This window comes from Homo sapiens, chromosome 1 (genome assembly GCF_000001405.40).
Source record: "Homo sapiens chromosome 1, GRCh38.p14 Primary Assembly".
Classification (NCBI taxonomy): Eukaryota; Metazoa; Chordata; class Mammalia; order Primates; family Hominidae; genus Homo; species Homo sapiens.
In genome coordinates this window covers 54,679,019-54,694,435 of record NC_000001.11, presented here as the reverse complement: position 1 = coordinate 54,694,435, position 15,417 = coordinate 54,679,019, and the positions used below count along the sequence as shown (strand labels likewise).

Below are 15,417 nucleotides of genomic sequence, written 5' to 3'. Positions count from 1 at the left end.
ACGGGGCACAGCAACCAGTGTTTTAACAGGCCTGGCAGTTAATTCCGTTGCACACTCAAGTCTGAGGAGCACTGCATTATGCTCCACCATCAGTGAATCCAGTGCAGTCTGGCAATCATGCATGGAGTGCAGAATGAGACAGCTGGGTTCAAATCCTGGCCCCAGCACTAGCTGTGTGACTTGGGGAAAGATGCTTAACTTCTCTGGGCTTCCATTTCCTCATGTATAATGCTGGGATAATAATAGTGCTATTTCACCGAGGGACGTGGCTCACGCCTGTAATCCGAACACTTTGGGAGGCCAAGGCGGGCAGATCACCTGATTTCAGGAGTTTGAGACCAGCCTGGCCAACATAGTGAAACTCCGTCTCTACTAAAAACACAAAAATTAGCCAGGCGTGGTGGCGCATGCCTGTGATCCCAGCTACTCTGGAGGCTGAGGCAGGAGAATCGCTTGAACCCAGGAGGCAGAGGTTGCAATGAGCAGAGATCACACCACTGCACTCCAGCGTGGGCGATAGAGCAAGACTCTGTCTCAAAATAAATAAATAAATAAAAGTGCTATTTCATCAGTCACGGTGAGGATTAAATGGGATCATGCATGTGACAGATCTCTGCATGGTGCCTAGAGCATAGTAAGTGCTCAACAAATGTGACTGTATCCTGAGACCCTGGGGAAAGCACCACCCGGGGCACTCAGGGTACAGGGCTAAGATGCAGGCTTTCCTGCAGGAGTCACAGCATTGGAATCAAGGTGCTCCCTCTTGACCCCGTGGGAAGCTGTGCATGGCCTGGGGAAGAGCTTTAGTCTGGGTCAGCAGGTCACTTCCCACCTCTGCCATGTCCTGCCTGTGTGACTTCGGGCACATGACAATTCCTCTCCAGACTTGGCATGTTTCTGTGCAAAATATGTGTTAATCACCCCTGCCCCACCAGTGACTATAACTATAGTAAAAATTAGCCTGTGTGGAGCTCTTACCATATGCCAGGGGCTATTCAAAGTACTTTTTTTCAGGCTGGAGTACGTGGTGCCATCTCGGCTCACAGCAACCTCCACCTCCTGGGTTCAAGCAATTCTCATGCCTCAGCCTCCCGAGTGGCTGGGACTACAGGCACATGCCACCACACCCAGCTAATTTTTGTATTTTCGGTAGAGATGGGGTTTCACTATGTTGCCTCTGCAGACCCAACTGACACTTACCATCATGTACTACACATTCAAATGGGAAAGAACAAAAGAACTGACACAAAATATCAGAAACGCATTGTTGATAACTGTGTCTAAAAGGCAGGTTCAAGCTGTTCTTGAACTCCTAACCTCAGATGATCCACCCGCCTCAAACACCCAAAGCACTGGGATTACAGGCATGAGCCACCATGCCTGGCCTATTCAAAGTACTTTAATTAATCCTCACCCCAACCCTCAGAGGTGGGTCTGACTATTATTTCCATGCTATTGAAGGAAAGTGGAGACTCAGAGGGAAGTAACTTGTCCCAGGTCACACAGGTGGCAAGTGGTAAGCTGGGATTCAGATGCAGTCAGGCCATCTCCAAGGCCACACCTCAACAACTTGGTTATACCACCATTTCTGTTTTGGCATGGGAACTAAATTCATAATGCACTAAGGAATGGTGCTTTGTGGATAGTCTAAGTGCTCCACAATTGCCAGGAACCTCTGAAGAGTGAGTGCTATCTTTAACATTTGTATTGTCTACCTGCCAAGGAAGACAGCACCCTCCCAGTTGTAGAGAAGAGGTGACAGACTGAGCAAAGGGTCTTGCCCAGGGAGAGATGCAGACCAAGTCCGTCTGAAGATCCTGAGGTCCCCCTCTTTCTCCCTCCCACCCCAACCCCAAGGTGGTCCCGGGACTCACCTTGCCAGCAAGGCCACTCCGCGGTGGTGGCTCTCCACCTGCTCCATGAGCTCCCAGCCACCCTGGTCCTCCAGAAACGTGGTCTCATAAGAGCAGCCCATCCTCAGTAGCAGGGTTTTCACCACTTTCACCACCCAGCTGCCAAGACAAGGCAATTAAGACCTCATGCCTACCTGGGCCCTAGCAGGCCAAGCCTCCCTCCACCCCGGCCTCTCCTGCCATCTGGCCCGACAAACTTCTCTTCACCATTTTAGGTAGGGGTATTCAGTGTATCCACAAAGGGTGGCTTTTTACAAATAATCATTAGCTTTTAGAACAAGAGAGGAAACAGAAGCAAAGTCCACCTCCCTATGAAGGCTGTGCTTTTACCTCTGGGACCAGCCTCTCTCTCACCCTCCACTATGCATCAGCCATGGGCTGGGCAGGCAGCCTCTCTGCTCACTCACAGTCTCCTATGTGGGCCGAGTCCTTCTCCAACTCAGGACACTTAAGGAGTGATTCTCAAACTGCATACCCAGCAGCAGCACTTGGGGAGCTTTTATGACCTACCAACTGACGAGACTGGGGCTCTGGCCAGTGCTTGTCAAGCTCCAGAATGAGCCTAAGAAGCCCTGGGAGGGCACTGACATCCTACTGTATGCCTGGCACCGCACTGTGTGTTCATACATGGGGGGTGGGGGGGAGGAGAGAGAGAGAGAGAGAGATCAGACAGAGGTTTCTAGATACACACACACACACACACACACACACACACACACTTTTTTTTTTTTTTTTTGTCGCCAGGCTGGAGTGCAATGGTGCGATCTCGGCTCACTGCAATCTCTGCCTCCTGGGTTAAAGCAATTCTCGTGCCTCAGCCTCCCGAGTAGCTGGGATTACAGGCATGCGCCACCACACCCGGCTAATTTTTGTATTTTTAGTAGAGACGGGGTTTCTCCATGTTGGCCAGGCTGGTCTTGAACTCCTGATCTCAAGTGATCTGCCTGCCTCAGCCTCCCAAAGTGCTGGGATTAGAGGCATGAGCCACAGCACCCAGCCTATATACACTTTTATTAAAATAAAAACTGACACTGTATAGAATAAAGCTTACATTTAAACAAAGTTTTCCAGAAACCTAAACATTTGCTGAAAGAGTTTATGGTGCACTTTGTGGACATACCTCAGCTGATAGTGAGAGCTGGTGGCTCTCATGATTCAAAAGAAAGGACTTAAGTAATTAGGTAATCCTCAGAAATTTGCCCTTCATTTTCATGTTTTTGCTTTTGTAATGATCCAGTGTGAAAATAAAAGCTTCTCCTGAGGGCAGAATTTTGGAATCATTCAACCTCTGTGCTTATTCTTTGAAATGTGTGCCATCAATGATAGTCCCTACTGGCAATGCCTCTAGCATTCAGAGTTACAAACAAAAGGGAGGGAGAAAGACAGGCAGGCTCAGAGTGTTGTCCAATTCTCCCATCACCATTCTCTTCCCTTTGCAAGTACTGGCTGAATGGCTAAGCTGAGATGTACAGGTTTTTGTTTGGAGAAGAAAGGTTATTCTCTTAAAGTTCAGGCACTAGCACCTTTACCTAAGACAGAATGAGCCTCCTGCATATGCTCCTCCGGTGACTGGACCACCCTCCCCTCCCTGTGTGTCCCTATCTCCAGGGTCATCATTTTGGACACCTTCTTACAAACTGGCTTGGGCACAGATTGAGCTCCAGAGCTCAAAAGGGAATGACCTGACTTAGAGGTTCCAGATAGCCATGGCTTGGCCAGTCCTCCCAGTCCTCATTTGTGTTGCCTGATGAATATGTATTTAGGCCAAAACTTCTGAATTCGCCAGGTGCTGTGGCTCACGCCTGTAATCCCAGCACTTTGGGTGGCCGAGGAGGGTGGATCACGAGGTCAGGAGATCGAGACCATCCTGGCTAACATGGTGAAATCCTGTCTCTACTAAAAATACAAAAAATTAGCCGGGCGTGGTGGCGGGCGCCTGTAGTCCCAGCTACTCGGGAGGCTGAGGCAGGAGAATGGCGTGAACCCGGGAGGCGGAGTTTGCAGTGAGCTGAGGTAGCGCCACTGCACTCTAGCCTGGGCGACAGTGAGACTCCGTCTAAAAAAAAAAAGGAAAAAAAAAAAAACTTCTGAACTTCTGAACTCAGAACTGCATCATTCGTAGTTGATCCTCTCTGTCATTTCACCTCACTCCCTCAATCAGGCTTCATATTTTCACAAAAGTGAGCCTGGGTTTCCACACCCCCTCCCTCCCACCCTGACCCCAAGGTGATCCCAGGCCTCATTTCCCTCCCTTCTCACCCCACTCCCAAAGTTATACTTGCAACAGCCCAAATGGCGCCCGTGCTGCTTCGTGAAAAAATAGAGTTGAAACTTTTGGGAGGAGGGCTGTGCTGTGGGTGGTGGGGTGGCTCTTGTGTCCCCAAACACTCACTCTGCAAGTTTTACCCTTCTAAAAGGCTTTCTCTGCAAAGTAGAGCAAGGGACACCTTGAAATATTTATTCTCTGTCCCTGCACTGGGACACCAGAGCCAATGATTGATCTGACATGGAGTTGCTTTCTTTTTTTGAGATAGGGTCTAGCTCTGTCACCCAGGCTGGAGTGTAGTGGCAAGAACATGGTTCACTGCAGCCTTGATCTCTTGGACTCACACGACCCTCCTGCCTTATTCTTCCAAGTAGCTGGGACCACACACCTGGCTAATTTTTTATTTTTTTGGAGTGATGGGGTTTCGCCATGTTGCCTAGGCTGGTCTCAAACCCCTGGCCTCAAGCGATTCTCCTGCCTCAGCCTCCCAGAGTGCTGGGGTTACAGGCATGGGCCACTGCACCCAGCTGGAGCTGCTTTAAAGCCCAGGGCTGCTGAAAGTTTCACCTTCCTGGAAGGCACAGAAACTGGGCTTCACAGGACAAGCTCTCAGGCCACTCCCTCCTCCTCCTTCAAACCCAAGCTGTTTGCAGGGGTAATTGTTGCACTCATTACCAGAGCCTGCCTCTCCTCTCAGGAGGATGTGACCGCCTTGTGTGCTGATGCCCCGTGGAGCTATTCCACCTCATCACTGCAGTCTGGAGCACGGACAATTTGCTCTGGTGCCATACCCCAGAGGATTCATTTCCTGTACAAATCACCACAACCTGGGTGGCTCAAAACAACAGAAATATATTTTTTCGCAGTTCTAGAGGCCAGATATCCAAAATTAAGGTGTCAGCAGGGCCGCAGCCCTCTGAAGAGTCCAGGGGAGAATGCTTCCTTGCCTATTCTGGCTTCTGGTGGCTTCCAGCACTCCTTAGCTTGTGACCACATCACTCACTCTTTGTCTTCATCAGCCTTCTCCCCTGTGTCTGGGCCTCTCTTCTCCTTATAAGGCCCCTTGGCACTGGATTCAGTGCCCACATGGTTAATCCAGGAGGACCTCATCTTGAGATCCTTAACTATATCTGCAAAGACCCTTTTTCCAAATAAGGTCACTATCATGGGTTCTGGGCAGACATGTCTTTCGGGGGCCACCATTTAGACCACTACATCTCATGACTTTTCTGGCCCCCCTTCAGCCTGGCACATGCCTGCCTCTGCTTTTTCTGCCTCTCAGGCTGCTTCTGAGACACTGAGGTGAGGTGGATACTCGGGCACTCCTCCAGCTTCTCCTTGATGTCCTCATTTGAGCCATGCCCTCTGCATTGGCAGGTCATACCTTTCATCACTCCAAGGTCAAGAATTTTTTCCCATATGTGTTCCTCCTCCCCCTCCAGAGCCTCCTTTTTTTCCCCTTGTGTTTTCCCCAGAGCCCGTCAGCCTTCTGGGCAATGCTCTCAGGGCGGCACCTACGAGCATGAGCAGGAGGGGAATGGGAACTGGCCGCACTGCGGGCAAATGGTGTCTTGCTGGGATGCGACCCTATCTGGTCCTCACAGCACACCTATGGGACAGGAATCATTTATCCATTTCATAGGCAAGGAAACCAACTGCCAAGAGGTAAAATTCATTTACCCAAAATACAACATTCTAGGTGATGAAGCCACGATTTGAATCCAAGACCTTCAGACTCAAGCCCACTACACAACTGTTTGCCCTCTGCCTCTCTAAATGCACCTTTCTGTGCATAACACAGAAAGTGTTAGGCACACTCCTATCATAACAATACGAGTCACAGAAGAAAAAACTGATAAACTTGGCTACATAAAAAACATTTCTGGCCTGGACATGGTGGCTTACACCTATAATCCTAGCACTTTGGGAGGCCAAGGTTGGAGGATCACTTGAGCCTAGGAGTTCGAGACCAGCCTGGGCAACATGGCAAGACTTCCATCTCTAACAAAAAAAAAAAAAAAAAATTTTTTTTTTTTTGAGACGGAGTCTCGCTGTGACACCCAGGCTGGAGTGCAGTGGTGCAATCTTGGCTCACTGTAACCTCTGCCTCCCAGGTTCAAGCAATTCTCCTGCCTCAGCCTCCTGAGCACCTGGGATTATAGGCACCCACCACCACATCTGGCTAATTTTTGTATTTTTAGTAGAGACGGGGTTTCACCATATTGGCCAGGCTGGTCTTGAACTCCTGACTTCAAGCGATGAAGTCAGGCTCAAGCGAGAGGATTGCTTGAGTCTGGGAGGTGAAGGCTGCCGTGAGCCATGTTTGCACCACTGCACTCCAGCCTGGGCAAAAGAGTGAGACCCTGTCTCAAAAAAAAAAAAAAGAAAGAAAAAAAGCAAACTCAATGTCATTCATAAGAGAAACGCATACTAAAACTACAGCAAAATTCCAATTTTTTAACTCTAATATTGGCAAAGATAAAAATGTTTTATAACACATTGTGTTGGCAAGGGTGTAGGGAAATAGATACTCATACACTGCTGGTGGCAGTGCTCTCTGTGGGAGGCAATTTGGCAAACTGGATGTTTTAGGAGTCACTCCATTTTATCCTTTATCATGCAATGGTCAGGAGCTTTTTCTATCACCTTAACATGTAATGCAGAAGCCCTTTGATGTGCCCATTCTACTTTCAGGAATTGTCCTACATATAAAATCACATGTACACATAAAGACATATAAACAAGCAAACTCACTGCAGCCTTGTAACTGCCAATGGCTGGAAAGCCCCGAAATCCAGAGAAGCCTGGTTAAATCAATTATGGTGCACTGGGATCCTATACATAGAGATACTATGCAGCTGTTAAAAATAAAGAGACAGCTCAGCCGGGTGCAGTGGCTCACGCCTATAATCCCAACACTTTGGGAGGCTGAGGCGGGTGGATCGCCTGAGGTCAGGAGTTCAAGACCAGCCTGGCCAACGTGGTGAAACCCCATCTCTACTAAAAATGCAAACAATTAGCTGGGCATGGTGGCAGATGCTGGTAATCCCAGCTACTCGGGAGGCTGAGGTAGGAGAATTGTTTGAACCCAGGAGACGGAGGTTGCAGTGAGCTGAGATTGCGCCACTGCACTCCAGCCTGGGCGACAGAGCGAGACTCCATCTCAAATAAATAAATAAATAAATAAATAAATAAATAAATAAATAAATAAGGAGACAGCTCTACAATACAATGGTCTCTAAGATATAGTATGTAATGAAGGCAAAAAATGTGTAGCAGTGTGAGGTGCTGTCATTGGTGTAAAAATACAGAATATAAGTAAATGTGTTTATCCCTGCATAATCCTCCTCTGGGAGGGCATGAAGAACTTGGTTGTCTTTGGGAACATAACTGGGGTAAGGACAGGGAAGGAAGCTTCCTTTTAATGTCTTTTGAGTATTTTACCCATGTGCCTATATTATCTACTCCAATTAATAATTAAAAATAAAGTATTTGGGCCTTGGATACAAACTTAATACAAATAATACCTCTAGGGAGGAAAGAAGAAAAAGTAAAGAGTGAACTCCTTGGGGAGGGCTGATTCTTTCCTGTGATCTAGACTAAACACAGTGTGTAATGCACAGAGCAGGTGCTCAAAAACAGTTGTTGAATGAATTATTGGCTCTAATAAAATTGTGCTTCTGTTTTCTCTTCTAGTCCCAAAGCTGATTTCTATTGATTGATTGCCCCTGAGACTTTTGGAGGCTCTGACTGGATGGCCCTTCCCACCACCGGGGACAGCAGGGTCAAGAGAGAGGGCAGAGCATACCGCACAGGTACGAAGGGAGAGGGCTGTGCACCCTTCTTGGTGTCCTTGGGAGGAGCCACGCAGCCAGGCAGGTTGAGGCCGATGTGGTAATGGACCTGAATGAGCAGGGCCAGGAGCAGCTGAGGGTAGATGCGCCTCACACGGCCCATGCAGCTGTTGACGGACAGGAGCTCGCACAGGCCGCTGGCTGCCTATGGGGCAGAGGGGAGGCTGCTGGGATGTCGTGGCCCATCTTCCCAGCACTCCTGGCTGGGGCCTGGACTGCCTCTCTGGGAGGTAGGATCTGGGTCTTTGCTGTCCTCTGGCCCAGCCTGGGGAAGCTGGGATTCCCCACCCCCCAGCCCCAAACCTCTGGCTCTCTGGCCAGAGGCCCTGTCCCAGAGCAAGGACAACAATCCACCCCTTAGTTTTGGTCCAGGGCTTTGATGTTTATGCAACCTTGGAAGAATCATGGTGGAAGAATCCCTTCTACCTCTTGAGAGGTAAAGAGTCTTGATCTCATTTTGCAGATGAGGAGGCGGACTCAGAGGGGTGAAGCTGCTAGCTCAAGGTCACCAGCCCCTTGGGGGCAGAGCTGGAACTTGAACCCAGGTTTTCTGATACCAACTATAGCGTGCTGTGCCTCTTCCTCATTCACAACACAGGCACACAGAATGTAAGGGGCACCAGGCTGGCCTCTTCACCCTGGGCCATTAAACTAGGCTGTCCTCACTCCCATCCCCATGAGGCCAGCAGCCAAGAGAAACAACACCAGCCTTGAGCAAGAGCATGGCTCAAGTGCCAGCTCTGCCCCCAAGGGCTGGTGACCTGGGGCAACTTCTCCACCTGCCAATCCAGCTCTGGACCTGGCCTGGGCCCACCCTCATACTTGGCCCACCAAGTCCTCTCTAACTGGCAGAAGGGCAATACTAGGGGGTGGGGAGTGGGTGATGGGCTGGTGTCACAAGACTCATGGCTCATTCTGGCTCTACCACTCCCTGGCGCCTCTGGGCCTCAGATCTCTGAAAAGTGGAGTCACTGATCATCATCCGGCCAGCCCCACAGGAGTGTTAGAGCCTAAATGAGAGGGCGAAGGTAAGCATGCTTTATACATAAATGGTTTGAGCTGTGCCATTAGGACTCCATGCAGGCCAGGCACAGTGGCTCATGCCTGTAATCCCAGCACTTTGGGAGGCCAAGGTGGGCAGATCACTTGAGGTCAGGCAGGAGTTTGAGACCAGCCTGGCCAACATGGGGAAACCCCGTCTCTACTAAAAATACAAAAATTAGCCAGGTGTGGTGGCGGGTGCCTGTAGTCCCAGCTGCTCGGGAAGCTGAGGCATGAGAATCACTGCAACCCGGGAGGTGGAGGGGTTGTGGTGAACCAAGATCATGCCACTGCACTCCAACAACCTGGGTGATAGAGCAAGACTCAGTCTCAAAAAAAAAAAGGAGAGAAAAAAAAAGACTCCATGCATCTGGGCCAAGAGGAAAGCATTTAATTGCAAAGTGAAAGAACCCCTGACATGTTCCCTTGGAGAAAAGTGACCTAACATGGGCTGAATGAGAACAATAAATGGCAGTTAATTTGCACTTTACAGCTTAAGAAGTTCTTCCACATACACTATCTCCCCTTTCTCAACAGGTAAGATAGACAATGCAGGAGTTATCATAGCCCATTTTACAGATATAAGCACCAAGGCTAGAGAGGGGAAGTGATTGACCACGGTTATATAGTGAGGCAGTGGCAGAGCTAAGACAAGTCTCTTGGACTCAAAGCCCTTGTACTTTTCCAGCAGCCCAAAGCTAATGATTACATCCAAAGAACACAGTCTGTGGTGTAAGGGAAAAGTCTCTAGTGATGTGCCACAGGGCTTTGCTTTCGGCTCTATCTTGCTCAAACGATTTATCAGTGCCATAAGATAAGAATGAGTTCAGGCTGTATCCATGCTTAAACTATGCTTGCTGGACAAGAAGCACAAATGAGTGACTAAAGAATACACTAACATACACCAATTGTAGAAGAGGATGAATGCCCAAATTGCAAGGGAAGGAGTGCTGGTGCCTTAGGCACAGAACTCAGTGCTGGAGGACAAAGGCAGAGAGATATATGGGAGTGAAGCGCAGGATTTGGAAGCGGAAGATCTGCTGGGTTTGAGTCCTAGCACCACCATTGCTAGCTAGGTGACCTGGGGGGAGACATGGAATGTCTCTAAGCAGGAGCATCCTCCTCTGTAATGGGATAATACTACCCTCTCCTTCATCTACTGTACCTTTATTTACTTCCCTTCACCAGAATGTCTCGCTTCTGAATCCCCAGAACCTATAAGTGTGCTTGGCACATAGTATAGGAGGTGCTCACTAAACACTTATTGAAAAAATAAATCAGCCCAACAAAAACATTTCTGAGTGCTTACTATGCGCCAGGTGTATGCAAGATGTTGGGGATATCATGGTGAGCACAGCAGGACAGCAATGTCTTCATGTGTCTCACAGATTAACCAAAGGATCCCCTGTGGTGTTGTCAAATGACAACTGGTGTAAACTCTTTTCATACAAAGTATGTGACGCAAAATATACTACGTACAGATTTGACCAGGTCAGGGAGATCAGGGAGGGCTTCCCTAAGGAAGTGATGCTGGAGTTGACAGCTGAAGGATGAGTAGAAGTTAGCTCGGTGGAGAGCATTCTAGGTAGAGGAAACAGCATGTGCAAAGGCCCTGTGACAAGATAGCGTGGCTGGATGAAGTTCTGACAAAGACCCGTGAGGCTGGAGCAAAGCAAGCAGGAGGACCATGGAGCGTGGGGAAGCCGGCCAGGGATGCAGGGCCTTCGCCACAGGTAGGAGCACTGTGTCACTCTCAGGGGCAATGCAAAACCATCAAGGGTGCTGAGAAGAGGAGATGTGCATTTCTCAAAGACTTTTTGGCTGCAGTACAGATTGGAGGGGCAGGAGCAGAATCAGGAAGGTAGGCAGGGGTATGGACCAGGGGTATGGACCAACTGGCATGGACCAGGGTGGTGATAGAGACAGAGACAAATCCGTCTCTTCAGCCCAGCCAGCTTCCTGAGTCAGAGCTGCCTTTCGCTCTGTGTTCCCAGGGTCAAGCTTGGAGTGTGGCAGCAAGAAGTGTTTTGTGTCACCTAAATGAATGAATGTGTTATCTCATATAATCTTCACAGCCGCCATATGAGAAAGATATTATTTCTATTCACATATGTAGAAACTGAGCCTCATAGAGGTGGAAGTGACTTACCTAGGCCACAAAATGGTAATGTAGGATTTTTTTAAAAAAATAGAGAAGAGGTCTTGCTATAGTGCCCAGGCTGGCCTCAAACTCCTAGCCTCAAGTGATCCTCTGCCTCCGCCTCCCAAAGTGCTGGGATTACAGGCATGTGCCACCATGCCTGGCCAGAACCAGGATTTAGACTGTCTGTGACTCCAAGTCACTCTTTTTCCCATATCCCAGGCTGCTGTTGTCACCATAGACAACACTACTGTTATTGTCCAGTGAACCACAGACAAGAGCCAGAGCCAGAGACCTGCCCAAGACCACACAACTAGTTACTGGCAGAGTGCGGTACTCGAGGCCGGGTGTGCTTAGCTCAGCAGGAGGGAAGGAGAGAGGAAGGGCAGGACAGGCAGCAATAGGGGCTGGCTGACTGGGTGCTCACCGCCAGGGGCACGATGGAAGCCCGGCCCTCCTTGGTGACGGGCTTCTCCTTCAGGCTGCCCAGGAGCAGATCCAGGAGGTCTCGGACATCACAGCTGGGCTTACACAGTATCAGCTGCCTCCACATCTCTGCTCCATTGCTGAGAGGTCAGGGATGTGGGCAATTAGTGGTGGCCAAGGCAGTGGGGCTAACCCAGCCTCCAAATGGTTTTGGGAGGGGGAAGGTAAGATGCCAATGAAATGGCATCCATGGGCACACCTGCAAGGAATAGTCCAGAAAACACTCCCAAAGAGTCAGGGGCTAGAAGGACAAGAAACCCTATTTCCTTGGTGGGCATGGTGGCTCACACCTGTAATCCCAGCACTTTGGGAGGCCAAAGTGGGTGGATCACCTAAGGTCAGGAGTTTGAGACCAGCCTGGCCAATATGGTGAAACCCCGTCTCTACTAATAATACAAAAAAAATTAGCTGGGCATGGTGGTGCATGCCTGTAATCACAGCTACTCAGGAGGCTGAGGCAGGAGAATCGCTTGAACCCGGGAGGCAGAGGTTGCAGTGAACCAAGATCACGCCAGCAGTGCACTCCAGCCTGGGAGAAAAGAGCGAAACTCCATCTTCAAAAAAAAAAAAAAAAAGAAAGAAAGAAAGAAACCCTATTTCCCAGGTATCATGCCAAATGTTTTACGTTTTACATGCAATGTATTACTTCGGCAGATATTAGCTGAGCATTTACTGTACACCAGGCCCTACGCAAATCTTGGGGAATACAGACATGAACAAGGATTCAAGACACTCAAGATCACTGAATTCTCACAATAACCCTAAGGTGAGTGTTGTTATTCCCATTTTACAAATGAGGAATTGAGGCTCAGAGAGGTGAAATTACCAGTCCAAGATTACACAGCTAATGAGCTGCAGAGTCCAGATATGGCCAGGCCTGATGTCTTCAAAGCCTGTGCTCATTCCTCTAACCAAGGAGCAAGAGTGGAGGCAGTTGAGCAGCCTGGGGCTAGGATCCTGCACTTGTCACATAATATCAGGGAGCCTCTGTTCCCATCCCTTAAAAGGCAGTACACCAGGCAAGGAAAAGCATCTGCACCCAACCAAACTCCTATCATAGGGTGTTGAAAGCACTGGCAGGCCAGTGTACTAAAGGGTTAACAAAAACCTTTCCCCTTCTACAAGAGGGTTTCAACCCTCCATTCACTTTCTAGCTCTGTTCCCCTGGCAACCTGATACAGTATGTCAACTATGTTGCTAGGCAACATTACTTATGGTAATAATGACTCCACTGGTAAATTGCATCTGGACAGGGAGGAACTATAAATTAACTATAAGAACTGATGGGGACACTATAGCATTGAGCTTCCCAGGATGCAGTGACCCTTGTAACTTGGTTTGTCCCTGTGGGGACCCTGGAAGCAAAGCCAAGATGTAAAAGATACTGGTCTCTGTGAGGCCTGTGCCATTTAAGCCAGGGCAGCTCCTATATCCACCCTATAGGTCTCCTTTCGTCACACCTGAACTTTCACCTGAGAGGCCCAAGAGACCAGCTCCTAGACTCAGGGCCAAGACTAGGATAAGGAAAGTGAGGCATCCAGGGTGCCAACTTGAAGGAAGCCCTCATTCTCAGGCTCACACAAGTGCAGACTTGGCACCCGAGACTATGTCCTTAAATGTTATGCCCTGGGTGCCTCTGCCTGGCCTGCTGTGGGGGCTGCTGCAAGGACCCCCGCAAGGAGGAGCTCCTGACACTGCCCTGTCCTGTATCCTGTGTGACGGATGTCAGATGAGGCCCCCAGTAGTCTTATGAGTCTGACTGTTTAGTGGACCCAAGAAAAAAAAAACCCTGGTGGGGAGTACAGCCAGAAAGGGTTTAATTCTTCCAAGTGGGAGACTGGGATGTGCCAGCTGGGCCCTCACCATCCTGACTGATCTTCTTGGTTCCTATGAATGACATCAACTGCCCTTATTGGAGCACACCCCATTTGCACAGCTCTGCACAGTTCTTTGGCTCTCAAACAACCACCCGAAGGTGTGGATCACTCACTGCCTTGTTTTACTCATTCAAAGAAAGCATGGGAGCATTTCCTGGGTGGGAGGCTGAGGCCAGACTGACCTCTCCTGCCCACGAGCTCACCATCTGACCACAGTCCCCTCTGCCCATCAGATCACGAGCTCCCTGAAGACAGTGAGCTTGGAGCACCCTTCCGCACGGGCCCAGGCCTGAGCAGGCACTCAGCACCGCTGGCTGCATTACTGTCATGACCACCCACCTGGGGTGGGATTGCAGGGATCATTTCCTTCTTTTGCCTAAGGGGGAAAGAGAGGACAAATGGGCTACCCAAGACCCACACAGCAGCTGGAGGCAGAGTCAGGACGGACACGCAGACCTCCTTTCAATGGCATTGTTAAAGAGCTCTGGGCTGGTAGTTAGTTAGACCTGAGTTTAGGTCCTCCGTTCTATTGCTTGCTCAGTGAGTACCTAAGGCAAGAAACTTCCCTAAGCCTTGGTTTCCTCATCTGCAGAATGGGATTGTTGTGAGAATTAGAGACTATTGTAATGCTCGGCGCTGACAGCAGCAGTGCTCAGGAAGTGCTTAATGGTTGTCATAAACACCCCAGATCACAGAAGGGGGGCCATCTGGGAGGGCGAGGGGCTTATCTGGGCAGAAGGGGGTCCCCAACCTGGGGTGGGGGCTGCTTGAACCCTGTAAGATGCAGTGGCTGGGAACCCCTTCACTTGGTACCTGTTCAGTGGGAGGGGGCACATGAGCAGGGCCACCACAACCTCGGTCATGAAGGAGCTAGCCAGGAGGGAGACGGGCAGCAGGGCCACCTGGCGGGCCCGAGGCTCCTGGATGTGGCTCAGCTGCATGTAGATGCCTTGCATGATTTCTGGGATCTGGGGCACAGCCGGGGCAGCCATGAGCAAGGGGACTGCCAAGGGAAGCACGGGGGCAGCAGGAAGGTGGGAGGAGAGGGAAGGGGGTGACAGGCTAGAGGACAGGGGAGAAGGCCCAAAGGAGAGAGAGAGGAAGAGGCAAGCAGAGCGCCTGCCCCTCCCTGGGAGTGAGCCAGTTTCTCTTTACTATGCTCCCTATACCTGCTTCCACCGCCAAACCCACCTCTACCCACCACCAAGTCAGTTGAGCTCCTTCAGGGGTGGTAAGAGAAAACCTTCAAGGTGGGAGCACCTAGAACTCAGCCACCAGCACCCCTTCCCTGCCCCATGGCTTAGGGGGTTCAGGTATACCCCACCCTGCCCACTGTCTGGCCGGCCAGTGATGAGCAGGCCATGGGGGGAGCTCCCGAGCCCCAGTGACAGTTCACTCCCTGCCCCCAGGAGGCCTTACCACCTCCAGCGCCCTGTGGCGGTACCACTCCAGCACCGAGCTGAGCATGACCTCCGAGGCCAGCTGCATCATCTCCCTGGAGTCCTTCCCTGGAGCCTCTGAGCTGCCTTTCAGCCCTTCCAGGGCGGCCAGCAGCAGGTCCTTTATCTGCTGGGGCCCCAGGAAGTCTCCAAATTCCTGAAACAAAGGTGCTGAGATCATGACACACTGATGGGTAGCCCGAGCTTTGAGCTTCGAGCTTTGTGCACAGAGGCACAAACACTGCCTGACGCCCACATGCAGAGGTCAGCAGGGAGGGCCAGGAATATTCAGTTAACACATAAGTGTTGAACCTTTAGGGGAGGAGCTACAAAAGTAAGAGCAACATGTCCCTGCACTCAGCACAGGGTGACATGCGTAAGGGAGAAGGAAGTCCATGCAC

At 50.2% G+C, this 15,417-nt stretch overlaps 1 protein-coding gene and 1 long non-coding RNA gene across 7 annotated transcripts in view, besides 1 other annotated feature; both read right to left on the bottom strand.

Moving 5' to 3' along the window:
• MROH7-TTC4 (MROH7-TTC4 readthrough (NMD candidate)) overlaps window positions 1-15,417 on the bottom strand; it is a 100,918-nt gene that overhangs the window by 48,222 nt on the left and 37,279 nt on the right. For all 3 annotated transcript variants that reach the window (NR_037639.2, NR_037641.2, NR_037640.2), the window contains 5 exon segments: window positions 1,875-2,012; window positions 7,988-8,178; window positions 11,642-11,780; window positions 14,391-14,545; window positions 14,997-15,173. This is a non-coding gene — a long non-coding RNA (MROH7-TTC4 readthrough (NMD candidate)).
• Window positions 1-15,417, bottom strand: part of MROH7 (maestro heat like repeat family member 7) — a 68,481-nt gene that overhangs the window by 15,831 nt on the left and 37,233 nt on the right. For 3 of the 4 annotated variants that reach the window (NR_026782.3, NM_001039464.4, NM_001291332.2), the window contains 5 exons: window positions 14,997-15,173; window positions 14,391-14,545; window positions 11,642-11,780; window positions 7,988-8,178; window positions 1,875-2,012 (listed from right to left, as the gene is read on the bottom strand). Coding sequence is in view for 2 of the 4 variants with exons in the window: in NM_001039464.4 (NP_001034553.3) it covers window positions 1,875-2,012; window positions 7,988-8,178; window positions 11,642-11,780; window positions 14,391-14,545; window positions 14,997-15,173 (800 nt within the window). In the remaining 2 variants the exon portion in view is untranslated. The remainder of the gene's footprint in view (window positions 1-1,874; window positions 2,013-7,987; window positions 8,179-11,641; window positions 11,781-14,390; window positions 14,546-14,996; window positions 15,174-15,417) is intronic. The other variant, NR_111931.2, reaches the window with a different exon arrangement.
• Window positions 14,009-14,869: an enhancer, noted in NCBI's record as "H3K27ac-H3K4me1 hESC enhancer chr1:55145240-55146100 (GRCh37/hg19 assembly coordinates)". NCBI's record gives its function as "activates a minimal SCP1, AML or CMV promoter by ChIP-STARR-seq in naive H9 embryonic stem cells {active_cell/tissue: H9 hESC(naive)}" and the evidence as "EXISTENCE:reporter gene assay evidence [ECO:0000049][PMID:30033119]".